At 46.9% G+C, this 21,373-nt stretch overlaps 1 protein-coding gene and 1 long non-coding RNA gene across 7 annotated transcripts in view, besides 4 other annotated features; one reads left to right on the top strand and one right to left on the bottom strand.

Annotated features, from left to right (window-relative positions):
• Positions 1–421: 421 nt before the first annotated feature.
• Positions 422–5,803, top strand: LOC105373581 (uncharacterized). Its single transcript, XR_001739666.3, has 2 exons — positions 422–754; positions 1,924–5,803. It is a non-coding gene; the product is annotated as an uncharacterized LOC105373581 (long non-coding RNA).
• Positions 5,776–21,373, bottom strand: part of STEAP3 (STEAP3 metalloreductase) — a 41,819-nt gene continuing 26,221 nt past the window's right edge. For 5 of the 6 annotated variants that reach the window (XM_011511403.2, NM_182915.3, XM_047444895.1 and 2 more), the window contains 2 exons: positions 16,580–16,744; positions 5,776–8,371 (listed from right to left, as the gene is read on the bottom strand). In XM_011511403.2, coding sequence (XP_011509705.1) covers positions 8,090–8,371; positions 16,580–16,744 — 447 coding nt within the window. In that variant the 3' untranslated portion in view covers positions 5,776–8,089. Of the gene's footprint in view, positions 8,372–13,739; positions 13,972–16,579; positions 16,745–21,373 lie in introns of all 6 variants that reach the window. The other variant, NM_138637.3, reaches the window with a different exon arrangement.
• Positions 6,005–6,104: a silencer, noted in NCBI's record as "silent region_11902". NCBI's record gives its function as "represses an Ori minimal core promoter by ATAC-STARR-seq in GM12878 lymphoblastoid cells {active_cell/tissue: GM12878}" and the evidence as "EXISTENCE:reporter gene assay evidence [ECO:0000049][PMID:35858748]".
• Positions 11,239–12,012: an enhancer, noted in NCBI's record as "NANOG-H3K27ac-H3K4me1 hESC enhancer chr2:120016992-120017765 (GRCh37/hg19 assembly coordinates)". NCBI's record gives its function as "activates a minimal SCP1, AML or CMV promoter by ChIP-STARR-seq in naive H9 embryonic stem cells {active_cell/tissue: H9 hESC(naive)}" and the evidence as "EXISTENCE:reporter gene assay evidence [ECO:0000049][PMID:30033119]".
• Positions 14,882–15,748: an enhancer, noted in NCBI's record as "NANOG-H3K27ac-H3K4me1 hESC enhancer chr2:120013256-120014122 (GRCh37/hg19 assembly coordinates)". NCBI's record gives its function as "activates a minimal SCP1, AML or CMV promoter by ChIP-STARR-seq in primed H9 embryonic stem cells {active_cell/tissue: H9 hESC(primed)}" and the evidence as "EXISTENCE:reporter gene assay evidence [ECO:0000049][PMID:30033119]".
• Positions 16,074–17,017: an enhancer, noted in NCBI's record as "H3K27ac-H3K4me1 hESC enhancer chr2:120011987-120012930 (GRCh37/hg19 assembly coordinates)". NCBI's record gives its function as "activates a minimal SCP1, AML or CMV promoter by ChIP-STARR-seq in primed H9 embryonic stem cells {active_cell/tissue: H9 hESC(primed)}" and the evidence as "EXISTENCE:reporter gene assay evidence [ECO:0000049][PMID:30033119]".

The following is a 21,373-nucleotide window of genomic DNA, read 5'->3' as shown; positions in this document are numbered from 1 at the left end:
ATACATATATATACACACATATATATAGCATTTTGTTCTTGATTTCTAACTTTCTTGCACTCACTTGAGAGAATGCCGATACTTATTATTTGAAATTTATTGAAATTTGCTTTATGGTATAATATGTTTTCAATTTGTTTTCTTGAGAAAAATATAATTTTTCTATTTCGTATTATATCCAACTTGTGTTGTTATACACACATACATGTGCACACATGCATATAATTGTCTGTTTGTTATAATCTCTTAGTATAATGAGGGATTTGTTCACATTTCTTTCTTTTTTTTTTTTTGCTTTACATATTTTGAGGCTATATTATTAAAAGCACATTATTCTAAAATATTTAAATCTTTATTTTATTATTATGTAGTAATTCTCTGTATTCCTAATAATGTCTTTTCTCATAAAATATGCTTTATATGATAATAATCTAGCCACTCCAATGTTAATTTAGTTTGATTTTGCCTAACTTACTTTTTTCCATGTCTTTACCTTGAGTCTTTAGGTATGCCACTTATAAATATAACTAAAATCCAATCTGACCATCTCTATCTTTCAACTGAAGTGTTTAATCCATTTGTATTTATTGTGATTATTGCAGGAGGACAAGTCCTTGAATGACCTTGGCTGATTCAGCTCTCCCTGCTCCTTCTTACAATTCTTGGGCAGAATGTACTGAGAATGTAACATCCTGGGATAAGGAAGAACCATCTAGAACAGCCTGGGCTTTGTCTTTGTTCCTCTCAGAACAAGGTGCTCTGCAATGCTTAAGCTCAGTGATTTAAGTACCTGTAGGGTATAAAATCCAGAGTGGACTGCTTTCAGGGTCCCTCAGCTGTAGTGTGAAGTTGGGCATATGCAGATGGGATTCCGTCTGCCCTGGGCAGCTTGCTTGAGTTCTGGGGGACCAGCTCCCCACGGATTCTATGCTTCTATCTTTGCTACATATCTGTGAGTAATAAGTCGGCTTTGCCTGACTTGTGCAGGTGTTTTGTCATACCAGACTCAGACTCCGGCAGCTGGGTTTGTGCAAAACCTTTAGAAGCTGTGTTTGTGTAAAGACTCCTGCCAGACCTGGGCATCCACCAGATACAGGAATCTTTACAAAAATTGGCAAAGTGTTTAGAGTCCTCTCCTGGTATCCAACATATGGTGTGCCCCTCATAAGGATTGATACCAGTGCATGGTATTCTGTTTCACAATTATGAATATATGTGGATTTTTTCTAATACCTACTTTTTGTTTTCTGTGTCTTGCTTTACCTATGCTATTTTTCTTGTTTCTTGTTTTTCAAAAATCCAATTAAAATTTTTTTCCCTTCCTAAGGATTTTGGCATTATACTTTTAGCTTTTTATGGTTACCCTTGACATTTTTCTAGATGTACTTAACAAGATCTAAATTAGCCCATAACTTTCCCAACCCCAACCTCTAAACAAATATGAGCCTCAGAACATTTTAACTCAATCCCTTATTTACATATCATTGTTTTTAGCCAGTTAGTATGTCTTTTTTTTTTTTTTGAGATGGAGTTTCACTCTTGTTTCCCAGGCCAAAGTGCAATGGCACTATCTCGGCTCACCACAACCTCCGCCTCCCAGGTTGAAGCAATTCTCCTGCCTCAGCCTCTTGAGTAGCTGGGATTATAGGCATGTGCCACCACGCCCAGCTAATTTTGTATTTTTAGTAGAGGTGGGGTTTCTCCATGCTGGTCAGGCTGGTCTCCAACTCCCGACCTCAGGTGACCCACCTGTCTTGGCCTCCCAAAGTGTTGGGATTACAGGCGTGAGCCACCGTGCCCAGCCTAGTATGTCCTTTAAAAAAAAACACTTACATAGATATTCTTCTTCTATAGAGAAAAGGTTTGCTTAGATTTACCTTGAGGGTCACCACTTATTCACTCACTGTTTCTTCTTGTTTTCAGATTCCCCTCTGGGATCATTTTCTTTCTATCTGAAGTATATTTTTAGAAGTTCTTCAGAAAAGAACTGTTGGTAAGCTCTCAATTTCTGTAATCTGAAACATTCTTATTTTGCACTCAATCTTGAAAGTCAGTTTTGCTTGATTTAAAATTCTAAGTTGGCAATCACTTCCCCCTGAACTTTTAAGATATTAGACTACTATTTTCTAATCTCCATTGATATTGTTAAGAAGTCTGTTGTAATTCCACAATTGTAGGTCATTTATAATTTTTCTCGACTGCTTTTAAGAGCTGCTTAGTGTGGCTAACTGTAGCTTTACTTTTAAATTTGCTTTCCTGCCTGATGGTATACATTGCACTTTCAGCATTTTTGGATACCAGTAATTCACTAGTTTTAGAAAATTCTTGGTCTTTATCTCTTTAAAATTTGCCTCTTCACCATTCTTTCCTTTTGGAACTCCAGCTATTTGTATGTTATAGTTGTTCATTTTAACCTTTATCTCTGTTAATGACTTTTTTATATTTTCTATCCATTTGTCTCTCTTTTGCATTCTGGGTAATTTTTTTAGCTTTTAAAATTCACGATTTTCTCCAATCTGCTGTTAAACTCACCAAATTAAGTTTGTTTCTGACAATTTTTTATTTCTGAAAATTCCATTTTTCATCATGCCTGTGCCTTTATAGTATATTATTGCTTATTTATTTTTTGCAACTCTATTTTTTAATTCTTTAGATACTTAATATATCATTATCGTATGTTTGACGATTCTGTTCTTCGAAGTCCTTCAGGTTTTGTTTCTACTGAGTCTCACCTATGGTTTATTAATTGTAAATATTAAGCTTCTTATTTGGTTGATCTGAACTGAGGTTGCTTTTCTTCAGAAAGGACTTGCATTTGCTTCTGCCAGGAGCCAAGGAGAGCTTTTTTTTGTTTGTTTGTTTTTGATTTTTGTGTGTGTTCCCATTTATTTTCTGTCCTGATGATTTCCCTTACTTCCTGCAAATTCAGTATTGCCTTAAAAAGTATGTCTTTTGTTTAGGAACTAATTGTGTTTTAAGCAGGAAGACCCTTCAGGAAGTTAAAAGCCCACATGAATTCTTTAGTTGCAGAAGTTTTAAATGTTGGCTAAAATTAGATTTTTAAGAATAGACTCTTCATATATGAGAATTATAGATATAAGTTAGGTTTCTGGTCCAATAAATGCAATCAACCCTCAATAAGCAAGAGTGTTGATTATTCACTTTATGGGAGGATTGGCAATGGAAGTTTTTGGTTGCCTAGTGCATCAAAGTTCCATTTGTGACTGTTCATTTCTGAATAGAGAAAACAAAAATGAAGCCAAGGCATTTCTGAGTGACTATTAGAGATGACACTGAACTAAGACAAACTACCTAGAATTATTAAAGAAACTGGTGAGGGAAAATGGAATTTAACTAAACAAAAATCTACTTTGCACACTTCCCAGGAAACACAATTTGGTATATTTCACTCTGGATAAAAAATGGTTATAATCAAATTTTGTTTTTGTTTTTTAAACCCTATCAGTTTTTCTGGTCTGCTCCCTTTACATTTTCTCCAACAATTATTTTCAGCCATTTTGTCCCTCTTCAGCCCTCAGAGCCAAACCTTCCTCCTCCCCTGTTCTCAGCAGAAGGGATTGACTGTTTTTTTAAAAAGAACAGACAACATCAGAAGGGAACTGTCACATGCTGTGTCATCACAACTAGCCCCTCCCCTCAATACTCAGCCACTTCTTTTCCCCTTCTCTCCTAGTTGTAAAGGACAATCTCCTCCTCTAAAGCCACCTGTACTCTGCACTCCATCTCTTCCCATGTCCTCCAGGACTTTGTGATTCTCTATCATTCTCTCTCTCATCTTCCATCATTCCTTTTCACCTTGTTTATTCCCCAGAAGCATTTAAAACATGTTTAGGTCAGAACCATGGAAAAAAATAACCAGCCCTCCTTCAACCCCCACATACCCCTCCCATTACCCATCCTTTCTCTTTCCCTTGCTTTACAGCCAAATCTCAGAAGAGTTGTCCAGTATTACTGTCTCCATTTCCTTCTTATTCATACTCAATCTGGATTTTACCCTCAACATCCTACTGAAATTCTCACCATTAGGTTTCCATGTTTCCAAATCTAGTTGACATTTATTGGTCTTCACCCTATGTGATTTCTTCATAGCATTCAACACAATTTCAAACACTCACAGTGGACACAGTACACACACACACACACACACACACACACACACGCACTTTTATCTTAAAATGTCAGCTACAAATGAGCCAACAATGTTTAGTTGAATATACTGTATTTAAAAACCAATTTATTTATTGTAAGGCTATTAATATAATAATTATTCATTATTAATGTTATATATGTATTAGTGTAAATTATTTCTACTTTATGTTTCAATTTAGACCTTACACTGATTTTAAAAATTATATGCATAGGTAGGTTATATTATTTCTGAATTTCATTTCAGAAATTAGTAAAGAGATTTTCAGAAGACTTGTTAGAAGAAGTCAGTGATTGTGGATGGGACTGAGAATTTCTGCTTTAGTGGAGCCAACTCTCTCTTGGTTGAGACCAGGGAAGTGGCCCAGCACAAGAGAGCTTCTGCACTCCAAGAGCTAGCTTCATTGCTTTTGGAAAAGATTCAACGTGTCAAACAGCTAAATGATAACTTTCTCTCCTGAACTGATATGCGTGATTTTGGTGGTTCCTTAGTTCTTACATGGGCTACCTTGGTAGGGGGTATTTTTCATCTATTTGATTACTTCTTTGTAAAGTTAACTCTCTCAGCTTTATGCATGGGAGGACACAGAGGAGAAAAGTAAACCTCCAAGGACAAGATGCTTTTCACCTTGAAAATTGTTTGTCATGAATGTATTTACTGGCCATGGTTCTTTCTTTGGAAAATCCTTATAATGAACTCAAAATGGCAGGGCTGTATTTTGGTTATTGTTCCCAAGAAATGGTTTTTAGCCACTAGACCACTTTCTGCACTGGGTTTCTTGCCCCCTTGCCCTGTACCATAAGGCAGTCTGGTTGCTTCAGCAGGAAGGCTCGGCTGCATGGTAGTTGGGTGGTCTCTGAAGAGAGCTCCTTTTGTTTTCCTGATGGACCCAGGGCCAATGTGCCGCAGCCCTCGTGAAGCACAAAGTGCAAGGCTGTGGCTCCAAGATGGAGTGTTTCTCCCTCTGCCTTTAAGAGAACACGGGGGTCATAGATAGCATTGTACAGACGTGTACCTTGCCAGGGCTGCCAGGGGAATGCAGGCTCATGGGGAGGATTGAGGGGACAGAGATGTGTGTGTACAGATTAGTGTGCCATAGACTAAGCACAGCAGAGGCAAAGAATGCCATCTAAGCTCTTGTCGCTCGGAGTGTCCGAGGATCATCACCATACAGGTCACCCAGGAGCTTATTAGAAATGCACAGTCTCATGCCTCACCCCAGACCACAAATCAGAACCCGCATTCGAACCACATTCCTAGGTGACTCCCAGGCACATTATAATTCAAGAAGCTCTGCTGCTTTTACCTGCACCGAGGCCTCAGCCTTCAGACCACTCCAGGAAGCCACCTTTTCACATCCCCACACCCCCACCCGACACTCTGTCACCTGGATCTTGCCCATTTCCTCCCTGGCATGTCCCTTAGTCCCTTAGGTCTGCACATCTGCCCTTCCTCATTGGCCAGCTCTAGCACAGATCACTGTGTTCACCTTGGCAGTCCCAAGTCCTTGCACACTGCCTGCCTGAGAGCAGGCTCCAAGCTGAAGGCTTCTCGAGTCAGTGGACGAATGGATACGTGATCTACATGGCAGAAATAAAAGCCTGAAGTTTGCAGAAGGTTAGGTGTTTATTTGCACTGCTTTTATACTGTCTACCAGGTTAAAAAAAAAAAACAGAGACTCTTTTGAAGGCATAGATTTTAGATATCAACCTCAGACTGTGGCATTTGGGATTTCCAGAGCATGTCGTTGAGGCACTTTTGTACCCAGAGGCACATGGAATTTACCAGGCTGTGGAGATGATGTGCTCTCGGGATGCTGCTGCCAGTAGCCTGGTGAGGTAGGGAAGACAGCAGTGGACGCACAGTCAGGGCCCAGTACACAGCCCGCCTGCCTTTCGTGTGATTGTCCAGCAGGTGGCACCTGTTCCCTCCTGCCACCCACCTTATAATTGCTTCCCTCTTGAGCACCTTCAGCCAGAGGTGGGTGGGAAGGGGAGGACGTGCACTGGGTTCTGCTATGTGCCAGCATCTTTGGTATAAGGAGCCATTCCCTGGCCCAGGGCAGGCAGCCAGTACCCACCGGGGTTGGGGATCATTGGTGGGTCTCCATTGCCCATGCTCTCCCTGCCTCTCATTAGTAGGGAATCGATGGGCCCTTGTTATGCCAAGGCAATGCTAAAATCTCTGCTTTACCTGCCCCCTTCTCAGCAAGGCTCTCTGTGGGCCACAGCTGATGCTCCATCAGTGCCAATTTATGAGACAAGTTTCTGCCGCTCAGCCTTGGCACAGCAGATGGAAAATACCTGCAGGAAGAGCTTCCCCGGCATGGCCTTCCCTGCATCGGTCATGTGCCTAATGAGCTATCCTTGCAGTGGGCTCTTCTCCTGCTTTTCACTGAAGAACCCTTATGTGCTGCATAGACATGAGCTCATGAAACCTCCCTGGCGGGGGGGGGGCAGGGGCAGCCTCATCTGTGACATTCTCTCTGGGCAGCCTTCACTGGCCCTACTCTCTTCCTTCCATCAGAAGATGGCTTTGGGCCCAGGAGACTCATGAAGACCTCACCCTCTTTGTCTTCAAAGATGCTTTTTCTGTGGCAGATCAACCTGGTTCTGCAGAGGGTTGGGGGCTCAGCCGAGAACACCTGTTTCTTCACAGGGGAAGTAAGCTAGAGTCAGTAGGGAGCAGCAAGGATGGCCTGTGACTGGAGGACAGACGTCCTGTGGCCCCGGCGGTGCTCTTCCCTCTTGTGCTTTGGGGCAGCAGCATTTTAGGTTTGTAGCTTTGGTGGAAAAGTTGCTCCCCACTGTTTTGAAGTGTAATGCCCCATGAGGAGGAAGTTGGAGCCAGTGTGGTTTTCTGGGTCCTCTGCCAGAGGACATTTGGAGTCCCCAATATTTTTCCTCAGGACTGACTTCGTGAAGACAGTCCTTCAGCCCAGGCAGGGCTCAACTCTGACGCCCGGGGAGCTTTACTCCCTAGAGTGTTTTCTCTTGCTCTCCCCCTTGGGCTGATTTCTAAAGGGTCTGCTCTAGGCCTTCCTGGGAGTCATTCAAACTGAAGATGGAAAGGGTGAGAAGGCACAGTGGTTTAAAGGACGCTCATCGCCAGGTTAAAGGAGGGAAGGAAATTACACTTGTTCCCAAGCCAGGCTCACTAATGGCTCTGGAAAGGAGGTGACGTCACTCTCACAGGAGGATCCATTTGCAGGCTCTATGGTGACTTCTGACTTTCAGGGAAAATGTCTCCCCCACTCAGCAAGGATGAGGTGGAGCAGCTTCAGCCCAATCCCTCCATCCTCCCACCACCGGGCAAAGGACCAGGCACAGACTCCAGGCCGACTGCCTGATTTTCCTCCTCCCCAGGCCTCCTGCTGCTGCCCCAGGTGGAGGGAAGAGACCAGCCGCTGCTCACATGCTCCAGGGATGGCTCTGGGCAGAGCCGTTGCCTTCCCTCCCCTTCAGAGCCCTAGCTCTGCAAGAGCCTTGGGGAAGTAGCAAAAGGGAAGTTGTGGGGGTGGGGTGGGCAGGGATAAATCGAACCCACCACAGCACAAGCCTCTTCTGTACAAAAAGTGTGTGTATATCTCTGCAAATGTCACAATAGCATGATCTGCTCTTCTCTTAACGTACGGCACTTGTTTTTAAATCTACAAGTTGAAATCTCAGAGACCCAACTTTTTAGCTAGCTATGTATAATTGCAAATCCTGTTATATATGTGGAATATATGTAAATACATATACACATATGTGTGTATATCATTCTGAATAGTACTGCATACATTTGAGTCCCAGGAATTTGGACCTCAAACCTCCTATTTGCACACAGTTATACCACTTTGCACCACCAAGAAAAGAAAACCTAACGGGCTCAGGGCACCGTCCCTCGTGTGCCCGGGGTCCAGAGCCCAGGGCAGGCACCTCATACGTGGCTCGTCTTCTCGGCCAGGGCGTGGTCTGTGGGCAGCGTGAACTTGATGGTGCTCTCCCTCTCCCAGCCTCTCCGGATCCTGGCGAGTCTGCGGCTGATGCAGGGCAGGAGAAACAGGGCTTTGGCCAGGATGACGACGCAGGGCACCAGCAGCGTGAGCGTGAAGGTGGGAGGCAGGTAGAACTTGTAGCGGCTCTCCTCGAAGGCGCGGGTCCAGCCGTAGGTGAGCGTGTGCAGTGTGCTCAGCACGAGGGCCACAAAGCCCAGTGAGGACTGTGGAGGGAAAAAAAGGCTGGAGTGAGGGCGAGGGGATGACAGATGCAGTGATCCTGCCAACGACTCATCTGCTGGCCTGGCGGAGGGGAAGGAGGGTGGCTTTAGTACTCACCGCTATGGGTTGGAACCCCAGTCCTGTCACTCTCTTAGTGTGATCTTATGATAACTCTCAACTCTCTGTGCCTCAGCTTCCACAACAGGAAAATGGGAATAATGCTTCTATGCTGAAGGTGTCTAAGGACCCACCAATTCACACGGATTCCATACAATAACTATATGACCATGCTTTTTCCTTAACTTTGTTATTTGTTATCTCTGGAGGCTGCTGGATGATTTCAGATGGAATTAAGTTCAAAGAAGTTTAAAAAACATTTAAGGCCTGCTGCGGTGGCTCTCGCCTGTAATCCCAACACTTTGGGAGGCCTAAGTGGGTGGACTGCTTGAGCCCAGGGGTTCAAGACCACCCTGGGCAACATAGTGAGACCCTGTTTCTACAAAAAATACAAAAAAATTAGCCAGGCTGTGGCAGCATGTGCTTGTTGTCCCAGCTACTTGGGAGGCTGAGATGGGAGGATCACTTGAGCCCAAGAGGTCAAGGTTGCAGTGAGCCAAGATTGTGCCACTGCACTACTGCACTCCAGCCTGGGTAACAGAGCAAGACCCTGTCTCTAAATATATATATACATATACATGTATATGTGTGTGTGTGTGTGTGTGTATAAATTTTACTAGTTATGTGTGTATTTTAATGTATATTAGAGTAACAAGTGTCTGCTTGCATACCAAAATCATAATTTCACAGATAACATTTGGCCTAAGTTAAGATCAGACAAAAAGTGGATTGATTTTAAATTAGCTTGAAGATAAATGCAGAGTAAATAATTTACAGATGGCACGTGGATTTGGCACCAGTAGCGAAGGGGACTCACGGGGCCTGTGGTCTGGGTGACCTGGCACCGTATAGAAAGCCCCAGAACACCACACAGATGCCCTCTGTGCATGCTAGACCTTCACCTCCCACCCCACACTGGGTTATAAACAACCCGGGTGGAAACCCCGCTGGGCCTACTCTTCCATCTGGAGGAGATTAGTGACCGTTGGGAGAAGAGACCATCCCAACTCTAAATGGAAATGGTCCCGGCCATTTTACAATGGAGCTTCACACCCCTTGAACAATGTGTGGGCTTTTGTGGGTCACTTCCAGCCGAGAGTGGCTGATCCACCACCCAAAGCATGACTTTCTGTAAGAGATGCAATGTGAAAATGGCTGGGAAGTGCTGCTCTATGACTCCAGCCTCTTGGCATGTACGAGTTCTCGTGGACCACGAAGGAAGAGATGCAGGTTCTACTGTTGGTGCTGGTTCAACTGATATGAACCCTGGGCAGGCGACTTAATCAACTTCAGTGGGAGATAAGTAATTTCCAAAGCTAAAGTCAGAGGGGGAAGCGCTGAGTAGTTGCAGTAGCCTCCATCTAGTCCCCTAGACAGGGCAGGCAAGTGACACAGCAGAGGGCACCGAGAGCGAGGGAGTCGTGGCACAGGGGTGCTCTGACTGAATTCTGCTAGCACTGGTGAGCCACTGAGAGCTTTGGGAGAGACCTCCCACGTCTATTACACAGGGATGGAAATAGCGATGACCCATCAAGCAATGAACACATATGCATTTTCTCCAAGGAGACATTGCGAGGGTGTAATTTAAGTGTGGCGGCACACTGAGACCTCTGGGTGGTCTGCATGGACTGAGCCTCCTGGATTCCCTTCTAGCCCAGCTTGTTGGCATCAATCCAGAGCCTCGGCTGACAGACGCTTCTCATTTGCACTCCCCTCAGAAGTGTTTCTAAGTGGGTCTGATTCCACATTGGGCCCCGTTCTTGCTCCTCCCTGGTGTGTGTGTGTGTGTGTCCCTTCATTTCCTGCTCCAGGACAGACACCAGGACAGTGAACGTCAGTGAGTGAAAGAACATGGTGTGGGAGAATTGCTTGTAAAGCTTTTGCTAAAGATAATAATAAACATTTTCCAATGGCTGCACACTACAATTTCACAGACAGGTTCTCACGTTCAACATTCTTGGGCCCAAGTAAAATAACCAAATAAAACCTTCTCTATCCTTCCTCACCCTCTCTGGTTCTTCTTGGCTTTGTGTCCATTTTTGGAATCTTCTTGGCCCAGTCTTTAACAACTTCTGGCTCACCACGAAGAGTGAGGAAGCCACGATTGGCTTTATGCTGTCACCCACAGTGAATTCCTATCATTTTAATGTGGTCACCTCCCAAAGAGAAGACTCCTTGACTGTCAGTTGCACATAAGCAAATCCTTGCCACTTCCAGAAGTGTCTGTCAAGAATTCCAAATCCCCTGCAACTTCTGAGCCACCCCAACTTTTCTAAATTCTAATCTCTTAGTGTGGAAGACTGTGGTTAAAAAAGTCCCCAGCACTGACCATCAAGAATAAGTCTTGGCTGGGTGCGGTGGCTCACGCCTGTAATCCCAGCACTTTGGGAGGCCGAGGCGGGCAGATCACCTGAGGTTGGGAGTTCAAGACCAGCCTGACCGACATGGATAAACCCCGTCCCCGTCTCTACTAAAAATACAAAATTAGCCAGGTGTGGTGGCGCATGCCTGTAATCCCAGCTACTCGCTTGAACCCAGGAGGTGGATGTTGCAGTGAGCCAAAATCACGCCATTGCACTCCAGCCTGGGCAACAAGAGTGAAATTCCGTCTCAAAAAAAAAGAAAAAAAAAAAAAAGAGTAAGTCTTGAAGTCAATCACCCTGATGTTCCCCAGCCAGGTGCCCAGCCCTAACTAACTGTGGGCCCTCCCACCCCTCCTCATTGTGGACTTATTGGTGTTGCCAAGATGGCTGGGTGATGCCCTTTATCCCCAAGAGTTTAACAGTCTGTGGCTTTTAGACTGTGGTTTTCAAACCTTGCTACACATTAGAATCACCCGGGGAGCTTGGGTAAAATACTAGTGCCCAAACCCCACTTCCAGAAATTCAGATTAAGTTGGTTTGGGGCGGGGCATCTGTTGTTTTTTAAGGTTCGGCGGATGAGGCTGATGGGCAGCTAGGACTAAAGCCACTCATTTAGGAGACTGTCGTCACCACACCCTTCTAGCTTCAGGGTGAAAAGTCCACACGGGCCCCTCTGCTCAGGTCACTTGCCTGAGGAAGACCTGGACCTATCTGTTCCTTAGACAAAGCCCCACTGAGAGCCTTTTGGCGCCCACCTCTGTGTCGTGGGCTTTCCCAGGAGGTGCAGCAATGGGAGCCCATCCAGGCCTGGAAAGCCAGCCTTAGTAGCCCCAGTGAGGTCTTTGCATCTCCCTCGGGTGACATGCCCTGTAGCTCCAGTGTTTGGTCTGTGTGGGCCACTGTCCCCAGCCCCTGATCTGGAGAGTGATGAATTTTGCTGGGCACTCTGGGCTCTGCACAGGGACAGTGTGGAGACGCTGCTCCCAGGCCCACCAGTGGCAGTCAGCTCCTCCTGTTCATATAGCCTCATTCTTGTGCCATTCAAAATCCCATGGTGCAGACAGCAGGAAGTTCCAGCCTCAGGCCAGTGGTTCATAGCAAGGGCTGACAGCCAAAGGCCAGCCAATAACAAAGGGCCTTTGACTTTCCTGTCCCAGTGGGAAGCCTGCATGATTCCAGGGAGTTTGTTTCCCAAAAACTCTCCTTGGGAACAATTTAAAAATCCCAGAACCCAAAGAAGCCCAAAAGGAGAGGGATTGTCATGAGGCGATTAATAAGATCCCCAAGCTAGAGCCATTTTTATTATACGTAAGCTTGTTAGCAAAAAAGAAACAGCCAGGTCGTTGTAGCTCCTGCTGGTGCTCAATTACTACGGCACAAAGGGGCTTTGGACAATTGCTCATGAAGCTGGGGTCAGGCTGGTCTTGTCATTATTTCAGGCAGGTGGCTGGAGTGGGCAAGGTCACAGGCAGTTCCTCTAACTCTGGGAAAGAACTTAGGTTCTAAAAGCTGAACCCTCATTTTTCTGCGCAGGTGAGCTGCTCTGACTGGAGTATTTTGCAGTCTAATATCTAACAGCCAGTTAAAACTGGCTGAATTGAAACACTTAGCACAACCCAAACCAAACCAAAACAATAACAAAAAAATACCAAAGGAAGGCTGGGTGCGGTGGCTCACGCCTATAATCCCAGCACTTTGGAAGGCCGAGGCAGGCGGATCATGAGGTCAGGAGATTGAGACCATCCTGCCTAACACGGTGAAACCCCATCTCTACTAAAAATACAAAAAAAAAAAAAAAAAAAAATTAGCCAGGTGTGGTGCCGGGCGCCTGTAGTCCCAGCTACTTGGGAGGCTGAGGCAGGAGAATGGCATGAACCCGGGAGGCAGAGGTTGCAGTGAGCCGAGATTGTGCCACTGCACTCCAGCCTGGGTGACGGAGTGAGACTCCGTCTCAAAAAAAAAAAAAAAAAAAAAAAAAAAATACCCAAAGGAACACAAAACAACATGTAAAACTTTGAAAACAGATTTGGGAACAAAAGGATAAATGCAAGCACAAGTCACCTCTTTGTGGAATCAATACACTGTTTCAATGGTTTTTAGCTAAACGAAGTGTCTGAGGTGTTCAAACCAGAGAGACTTCACCTGAATGGGGGGCTGGGTAAAATGAGGCTGAGACCTACTGGGCTGCATTCCCAGGAGGTTAAACGTTGCTAGTCACGGGATGACATAGGAGGTCGGCTCAGGATACAGGTCATAAATACCTTGCTGATAAAACAGCTTGCAGTAAAGAAGCCAGCCAAAAGCACCAAAACCAACATGGCAACGAGAGTGACCTCGTTGCTCATTATACACTAATTATAATGCATTCGCATGTTAAAAAACACTCCCACTAGCGCCATGTCAGTTTACAAATGCCATGGCAATGTCAGGAAGTTACCCTATATGGTCTAAAAAGGTAAGGAACCCTTAGTTCTGGGAATTGCCATCCCTTTCCTGGAAAACTCATGAATAATCCACCCCTCGTTCAGCATATAATCAAGAAGTAACAATAAGTATAAGCAGCTGAGCAGCCATGCCGCTGCTCTGACTATGGAGTAGCCATTCTTTTATTCCTTTGCTTTCTTAATAAACTTGCTTTCACTTTACTCTATGGACAGGTCCTGAATTCTTTCTCGCGTGAGGTCCAATAACCCTCTCTTGGGGTCTGGATCGGGACCCTTTTCCGGTAACAAAAGCATTACAGATCTAGGGGTCAGCCAAGGCCCCTCAAGAACCATGGCTGTCCCCATAGCCTGGTGTCTGCTGTGGACATGTGTGTAGGGGAGGGTGATGGGGCTCAGGTAACTTCTCACTAGCCACGCTAACTTTAAAGGAGAAGGTTGCAGCTTACCTCAAAAGCCAGCATGCCACTGTTGGCTGCACGCATCCTGCATTTAACGTGTCCAGCTCAAATCCTCTTGATGACCATATGGGGTGGACACAGGCACAAGTGAGCAGCAGAAGCTCCGAGGGCCTAGGAAACTTGTCTGATGATGCGGGGCAGGTAAGTGGGGGTCTTGGGACTGAGATTCAGGTCTTCGGGTTCCACTGCCTGTGTTTCCTGCACTGGAAGTTGCCACACACTGCGGCATGCGCACCTATCAGTCACTTAGGGAGCTGCAAAAATAGATTGCCAGAGCCATCCCTCAGCATCTGAGTCCACGGATGGGAGGCAGGCCTGGGTTATCTCTGTTTCTCCAAGAGGGCTCTGGCTTCAGCCTATTTGACAGGGACTCACAGTAAGAACCATGTTTTACTCTGCTGTCCGGTAGACAACGAGGTATGCTACATTTGCAAATAAAACTAGCAATTCCATATAACTGAAAAAGTATCCCGACACCATGCAAAACACTCCACTGTTTTCTTTGTCATTCTATTTTATTTCATTTTTAAAATGCTGCTTGTGATCCATGGAATCAATTGCATGACCCACTAGTGAGTGTCCGCCAGTTTGCAAACACTGACTGGACCACTTTTAGGCCCAGGGTTGGGGTTCCTTGGCCTCTGTCTCACTGTCTCCTACTGAACTCAGAAATCGGTGGTTGGTACCTTAGTCAGAGATAATGGAAATGTGGCCAGATACCCTAAGAATAATAGCAAAATGCTTTTTATTTTTCTTTCACACATAATCTCTTACTGTGGCTCATAAAATCCCTGTAAGGCATTAACTCCATTTTTCAGGGGTGTAAACTGAGGCTCTTGGAGCAGACATGCTCTGCCCACAGTTACAGAGCAGGGTTGTGGGGAGGGAAAGCTGGAACTCAGGCTTCCCAGGCGCCGCTGACATGTGCCTCCTCCATATTGACATCTGGTTTTTGTGGATGGAAGGCAGGCACTGATTTCCACAAGTAAAATCCTGCCTTTCTACCCACCTAACCCCCCCTGCTCTTGCAGTGGCAAAAGGACTGTCCTATTTGTATTTCCACTCTTTAATATGTAAAGTAGAATGCAGCTGCTAGGGTCTCAGTCAGCTCTTGCTAACAAAATCAAATCCACCGGCTTTCTCTGGCAGGCAGAGCCAGGGCATGTAATCTATGGCTGCTTAAGGGAGCGGCTTTCTGGTGAGGGGAGCAGCCTGCAGTCTGCTTTAATTGTGGATAAACCATGCACGCCGGATACTCCAGGTGGGAAGAGGAAAATCCTAGATTTGGGTATGAGACACATGGGGATTAGTGGCAGATAAATAAAATTCTTCCCCTTCTCGTATGCTAACATGTGTCAGCCATGAGCCCTCCTCCAGGGACCTTCTGAGATGAGCAGAGCCAGGGAGATTCAGAGGCAGACACACTTTAAAAAACACACGGCTACAACTCTGTGTTGTTCCAATGGATGTGAAGCATCCCTGGTCAGGAGCAATTAATTTGGATTACGTAAGAGCATTACGCTGTCACTGTCCCTGAGTCCTGTACCACGTCCTCCCTGCACAGATTTCTGTTGATAGTGGGGGTGGATAGGATGGCTGTTCTCTGCCCTGTTACAATGGCAGGATACAGCATTAGTCAGCTCCCACTCATGGGAGGGGAGGAGTTAATCCGCCAACACTGACCGCAGATTCTGTGTGGAGAACAGTGGGAGATGCCAAAGAAATGTAAACAATGTCCCTGCCTCCGTTTCCTTTATCATGGAAAGATGGCTCTGCCTGTCTTGTTCTCTATTGCATCACAGGCCTAGCAGGATGCCTGGCCTGCAGTAAGTGCTCAATAAATGTTTGTTGAATGAACAAATGCAAAAAGAAACTTTTGCCACTAGCAGCATTTCCCAGAGTATGTTCTGTGGAGTATTTTTTTTTTTTTAAGAGGCAAGGTCTTGCTATGATGTCCAGGCTGGACACTTGAACTTCTAACTCCTGGAAGAATCGCTCAAGCTCAAGTGATTCTCCCACCTCAGCCTCTGTTAGTAGCTGGGATCCCAGCCACATGCCACAGCGCCCAGCTTGTGGAGTGCTGATAGCTGTTATTTGGAAAAAAGGAGGGGGAGGGTGCTAACACTCCAATAAGTCTGATTAACAAAGGTTTGTTTGTTGTAGATGTTATTCGAATCTTTGATGTGCCAAAGTGCATTGTGATCTCTTAGGGGGAAGTAAATCTTTTCTCAAATTCATCTGATGACAGACCTCCTTTTTCTGGATTTTTTCATAGGAATGGCATCCTTGGGAAAAAGCTGTGTCGCATCCCCTATAAACTGGGGTCCTAATGCTTGTGTCTCATCCACGCTGCATGAATCAAGGGGTTAAGGGGAACAACAGAGCCAGGTTGAGATGAGGGGTGGAGGGTGGTGGGCTAGGCTCGCTCACTCCCTAGACTCCTACCTAGATGGATGTCTAGGTAGATGATGACTCCTACCTAGACCAGCAAAATGTCCAATGACTTCATGTCATTCAATTTTGTTTGGAAAGCTCAAGAATTCTAGAAGCTTGAGAATGGTGGACCCAGGGCTCAGTGTCCTGGTCTGTAATTTTTTCACATGCCTGTGTCTGGCTTCCTCATGTGTTGGGAGGTTAAGCTTGTAGCAGGCAGCCCCTATCAAGAGGCTTGGATGGGCCCTCTGGGTCAGGAAGGCCTGGCATCTCACCGAGTGGTCCTGCTGTGCAGATGATCAGAGCCCAGGCAGTTCTCAAAGGCAGAGCACTTACTCATGAGAGGTGGGCCAGGGCCACGCTGAAGCTGGCTGGCAGACTAGAGACTACTTTACCTGAACGAAGCTGAACTCCCTCCAGTTGAGCGAGTTTGCAATGGACGGCAGTGAGGTCACGGCCAGCAGGGACAACGTGCCGAGGGCCAGCACTCCCAGGGAGAGGTAGATCTCCATCCGCCAGACCTCCTCCTCCACCCAGAGGTGGCTCTTGTTGGCCAAGACCTGACATGGATGGAAGGAAAACCATGAACACTGTGGCAAAGGCTGGTGCCCCGGGAGGGCAATGATGAAGGACACAAGAAAGACAAGACGGCGGGCGCTCACACTGCACCTGACGCTACCTGGCTCTGTGATAAGCGTTTCTCAGGCATTAACTCATCGAATCCTCAAAACCACCCCACAAAGTAGAGATCACTATTAGCCCATTTTAGAGATGGAGGAAATGAGGCACAAAGATCAAATCACTTTCCCAAGGTCACATGTAGCTAACAGATGCAGAGCTGGGATCAGGACCCACTCAGCCTGGTGCCAATGACCGGGGCTCCTGGGGCTTTCACATATCTGCCCCGGGGCAGCCAATCAGAACAGTCACATCAGCAGAGTAAGGAGTCAACCAGAAATACAGCCCTTAAGCATGGCTCCGTCTCACGGTTTTCCGGCCCCAGAATCCCAGGACAGGAGAGAGGAGCTCTCCTAGCTCTGAATCCCCTCAGCCAATGAGCTCACACCTTACTGGCTGCTTCCCTTCCCAGCCTGTCTCACCCTGAGCCCTCTGTCTTCCTGGAGCCCCACACTGCCCCCATCACTGGCTCACACTCAGGACATACAAAGACACATACAGACACTGAGCCCCCAACACTCCCCGACCCAAAGCTCTCAGCCTCCCCTCTTCCTACCCAGTTCTCTACTTCTGCCTGAGGCACACAGCCTTGGCTCAACTTTGCCAGGCAAGAGAGACTGACGGCCATTCACCAAGCAGTTCAGTGACCACTTACGAAGCACCTACTGTGTGCCAGGCCCTGGGCTACAGAAAATAAAGATACCTGCCCTTACCCTGCCCTCACAGAGATCTGGGCCCCCCCACCAAGTTCCAGGACATATAAATTGGGGAGCCCCTATGAACCTGGAGATTTCTGACCCTTCTCTCCCCACCTTGCCACTGAGCCCCCTCCTAGCCCAGCCAACACTCACTCGCATAGTGCCCTCATGAGGAAGAACTTTTATCAAGGTGCAACTAGACCGGGTAGCAGAGTTCCTGGAAGTCAAGGTGTTCTCTGTGAAACACTGTGAAATGCTGGTACTTTTATTCTATAATGTCAGCAGAACAAGGAACAGTATTTCCATTAGAAGATGTGACTACACTTTAATAGGCAGCCTCTCAAAACAGAATGACTCATACAGGTTTTTTGAGAAACAATTTCAGCAGAAAAAAAAAAACACGAGCTCAGTTACCACATAAAATATTAAAAGTGAATCCACTGGGCTGAGCAAAATGGTTGTACAGCTTATAAGAGAAAGTTTAAAGAAACAGAGAAAATGCCATCCATTGAGTGCTTTTCCTGCAATCTGTGAAAAATGATTGGCTCTGTTCTATTTTAGGGCAGGCCTGGCTCACTTTGGTGACTTTAAGCCACTAAGGGACCAGGAGTCTAGGGACCCAGCCTCTTGTCCTGACCACCAGTGGCATGTGACTCTGGCAAGACTGTCTCTGGGCCTCAGTTTCTCTACCTAGGAGGTTTGGATGAGGTCATGTCTGAAATTCTCTTGATTTTGCTTATGTGCCTGCTGTGGTTGAAGTCACCATTAGCTGGAAAGGCGTGCAGAGGGCAGAGAGGTCTCCTCCGTACCTCTGCCCAGAGAAGTCTTACTCACACCTCACAGCATGAATTGAGTAAGTCATCTCCTCGCTGGAAGTTGTTTGTTCTTTAACTCTGCTTCATTAGTCATTCCTCTCTGCGCCTCGGGAAGATCAGGCAGTTAATGTCACAAGTCAGAGTTTGGATGATTACACACACGTATACCACATTGGCTTGTAAAATGCCTTGTTTTTTTCCTCTAACATTTCCAGTCTGCAGTGACGCTGGGAAGGGAGGGATGAGGTGGGCTAGGGAGCAGTGGATGGCAAAGACCCGCATGAGGACAGAACCTAAGCCAGCCTTAGGAGTCCATGAGATTCTCAGCCAGCCTATTAAACCACAGTGTTGTGCTCAGAGCTCCCTGGTGACCAGTGGCACACATGGCTAACTGGAACGCAGATGTAACAGCTCCCCTAGTAAGTAAGTCTCTATGTTTAGAGATGATCAAGTTCACCACCTTCTCCTTGAGAAGGCCAAGGAGAGTGTTCATCAACAAGAGATGGAAAGACAGCATTCAGGTGTGGGATTTCCCTCTAGGTTGCAGGTCAGACGCTGAAGGACCAGTGAGGCTGCAGCATTAGCCCCTCTCCATGTCTTCATAGTGGGTGATGGATGGGAAGAGAGTGGTACCAACTCACTGCCTGCCAGACTCAGAGGAGGAGGGGGTGGCAGGGTGTGGAAGGGCAACCTTGGGGCATAGAGACCATAGGCCTGGATTCTGACGCTGACTCTGCCACTGGTGGGCAGTCATGAGACCCTGGGCAGTCCCTTTCCTGGCTCATAGCATCATTGTATCTTGCTGTGTTACTGCAGGACTAAAAGCATTACGTTTGTGGAATGAGTAGCATGGAACAGGCACACAGTGGGCACTTAATGTAATAAATGGCTGTTGTTCTTAGTGGCAGCAAGGCAGTTAGACTAGTTCTTGCTCCAAGCTCTACGTGCACTCCTCTTAAGATGCCTGATATTGGCTCTGTGGTGGCCAATTTAAAAATCAGTCACTCAGTGAGCATGCACTGTGAACCTGTGTTAGGAACCATGGACCCCAAGGTGTAGAAGACCCAGTCATGGACCTCTGAGTCGGGTATGAAGTAGTGTGTAAGAAAAATAATAAAAAAGTATTTACAAAATGCAACAGATTACAGAGGCAGGTATGGGGAAGTAAGGGGATAGTCTGGGGGAGCTTAACAGAGGTAGGGTTTTGAAGGAGGAATAGGAGTTTGCAAGCTGTCAAGGTGTCCTGGGGTGGGCGTTCCAAGCCGAGAGGAATGAGCTCTGCCCATTTAGAGGACAGTATGGGACCCAAGTGTTGACACGTCACAGGAGAAGGGGAGATGAGGCTGCGGAGGGAGTCTAGCTGCATAGTGAGGGTTCTACCATTATCCCAAGGACACTGGGGTCACTGGATCTTTTCAGCAGTGACATGGTCAGATGAGAGTTTCAGACCATCCTGTGCCAGCCATGTGCAGATGTAGCTTGGGGTGAAGGTAATAGGAGAACGGGGTGAAGGTAACAGGAGAACAGTGTGCAGGTTAAACATTTCTTTGATCTTGATCTTTGAGTTTGATGTTGAAATGTGTATTTCCAGGGAAATACACAAGCAAATCCAAATGCCCTGTACAAATATCGGTTATTGTTGGTAATAATACTGTCTGTAAACATGGTCTCAAAGGTTTTCTCTACAGCTGGCATACACCTTTGCCTCCTAATCTGCAGACTCAGGGCTGTAAGGAAATCTTGGAGGAGTTTCTTGTGCCTAGACTAATGTGCTCCCTTGACCCAAGGGCCTAGTGGGCAGTTGGGGTGGTGAGTGGCCATGTGGGGACCCTGTGGTGAGGTGCCCATGGGCTGGCAGCAGAAGCCACACATCAAGCCTGAGCCACCCAGGAGTCCCTGCTGTTTGGGGCTGAAGGCAGAACAGCCTCAGGTGCCCAGGCCCAGAACCGCGGGCATGGCTTACCATGGACCATCCAGAATCTGCTTGGATGTGCCCAGGCTTGGGCACCTCCCCGTATCTGGGCTGCTGTGTGTCAAGCCCCTGCCTCCCTCCGACCACCCACCCCGACATAACCACATCAGCCCTGGTTTTGCCCTTAAGAACTCTGCAGAACAAGTTTAAGCCCCTTTGCATGAGAGGCCTTCGGTGTCTCTGACTGATCTCGTCCTGCGGGAGGGATGGTTGCCTGGCAACCTCACCAGGGCCTGCAGCCCTAAAGATTTTTGGGACACGGGGAAAATTACCTTGCATGCGCCCCTCTGTGCCCTGGTATTTGCATCAGGGCAGAATTGGGTTAACAGAATATCAGGGAGAGCCTTGGCAGGGCAGAGAATTTAGACAAAGGCAGTTGAAGGGTGGCAGGGGAGGGAGGGAGCAGTGGTGTGTCTTTTACCCTGGGGGGTAGTGGGCACCGTCCCCGTCTTTCCCACTGCTGCTGGAAATACCTGCCAGCTCAGGGGAGAGGGAGTGGGCTCCTCCATGCAGATCTGCCCCGTCCTGGGCAGCAACATTGTACTAGTCCCCAGGGAGCCCCGCAGAGCCTCCTGCCAAGGGGCTGGTGCTTTGTAGAAGTCAGTAAGAAAATATCGTCAAAGAGCATTGAAAACATTAGCACTAGGAGAGAGCTTGATCTACACATCAGGGCCTCGAGGACAAAAGAGGGGCTGTGACTTGCTCAAGGTCAAGATCTTTGTTCCAGTCAGCGATGCTGGAGAGCAGGAGTCCAGCCTCTAGCCTTCAGGCCTCCACACCGCCCCACACCAGCTGAGGCGAGGAGCCAGATGGTCTGTGTCTTTCTTACTCCTTTCTGTGGCCCCAGGGCCTGGCAGAGTAGGTGCTCAGTGAATGAGTGAATGAATGACCTAGTTCTGAAATCATTTACTCAATTGTGAATTTGGTTTGCCTGTAGAAAGCAGCGTGGGTATAAGCATGGATCTGGAAAATAGCTGGATCTGAATCCCAGCTGTGCTACTTACTGACTGTGTGACTTTGGCCAAG

Source organism: Homo sapiens, chromosome 2 (genome assembly GCF_000001405.40).
Source record: "Homo sapiens chromosome 2, GRCh38.p14 Primary Assembly".
Classification (NCBI taxonomy): Eukaryota; Metazoa; Chordata; class Mammalia; order Primates; family Hominidae; genus Homo; species Homo sapiens.
This window is presented reverse-complemented; position numbering and strand designations above follow the sequence as displayed.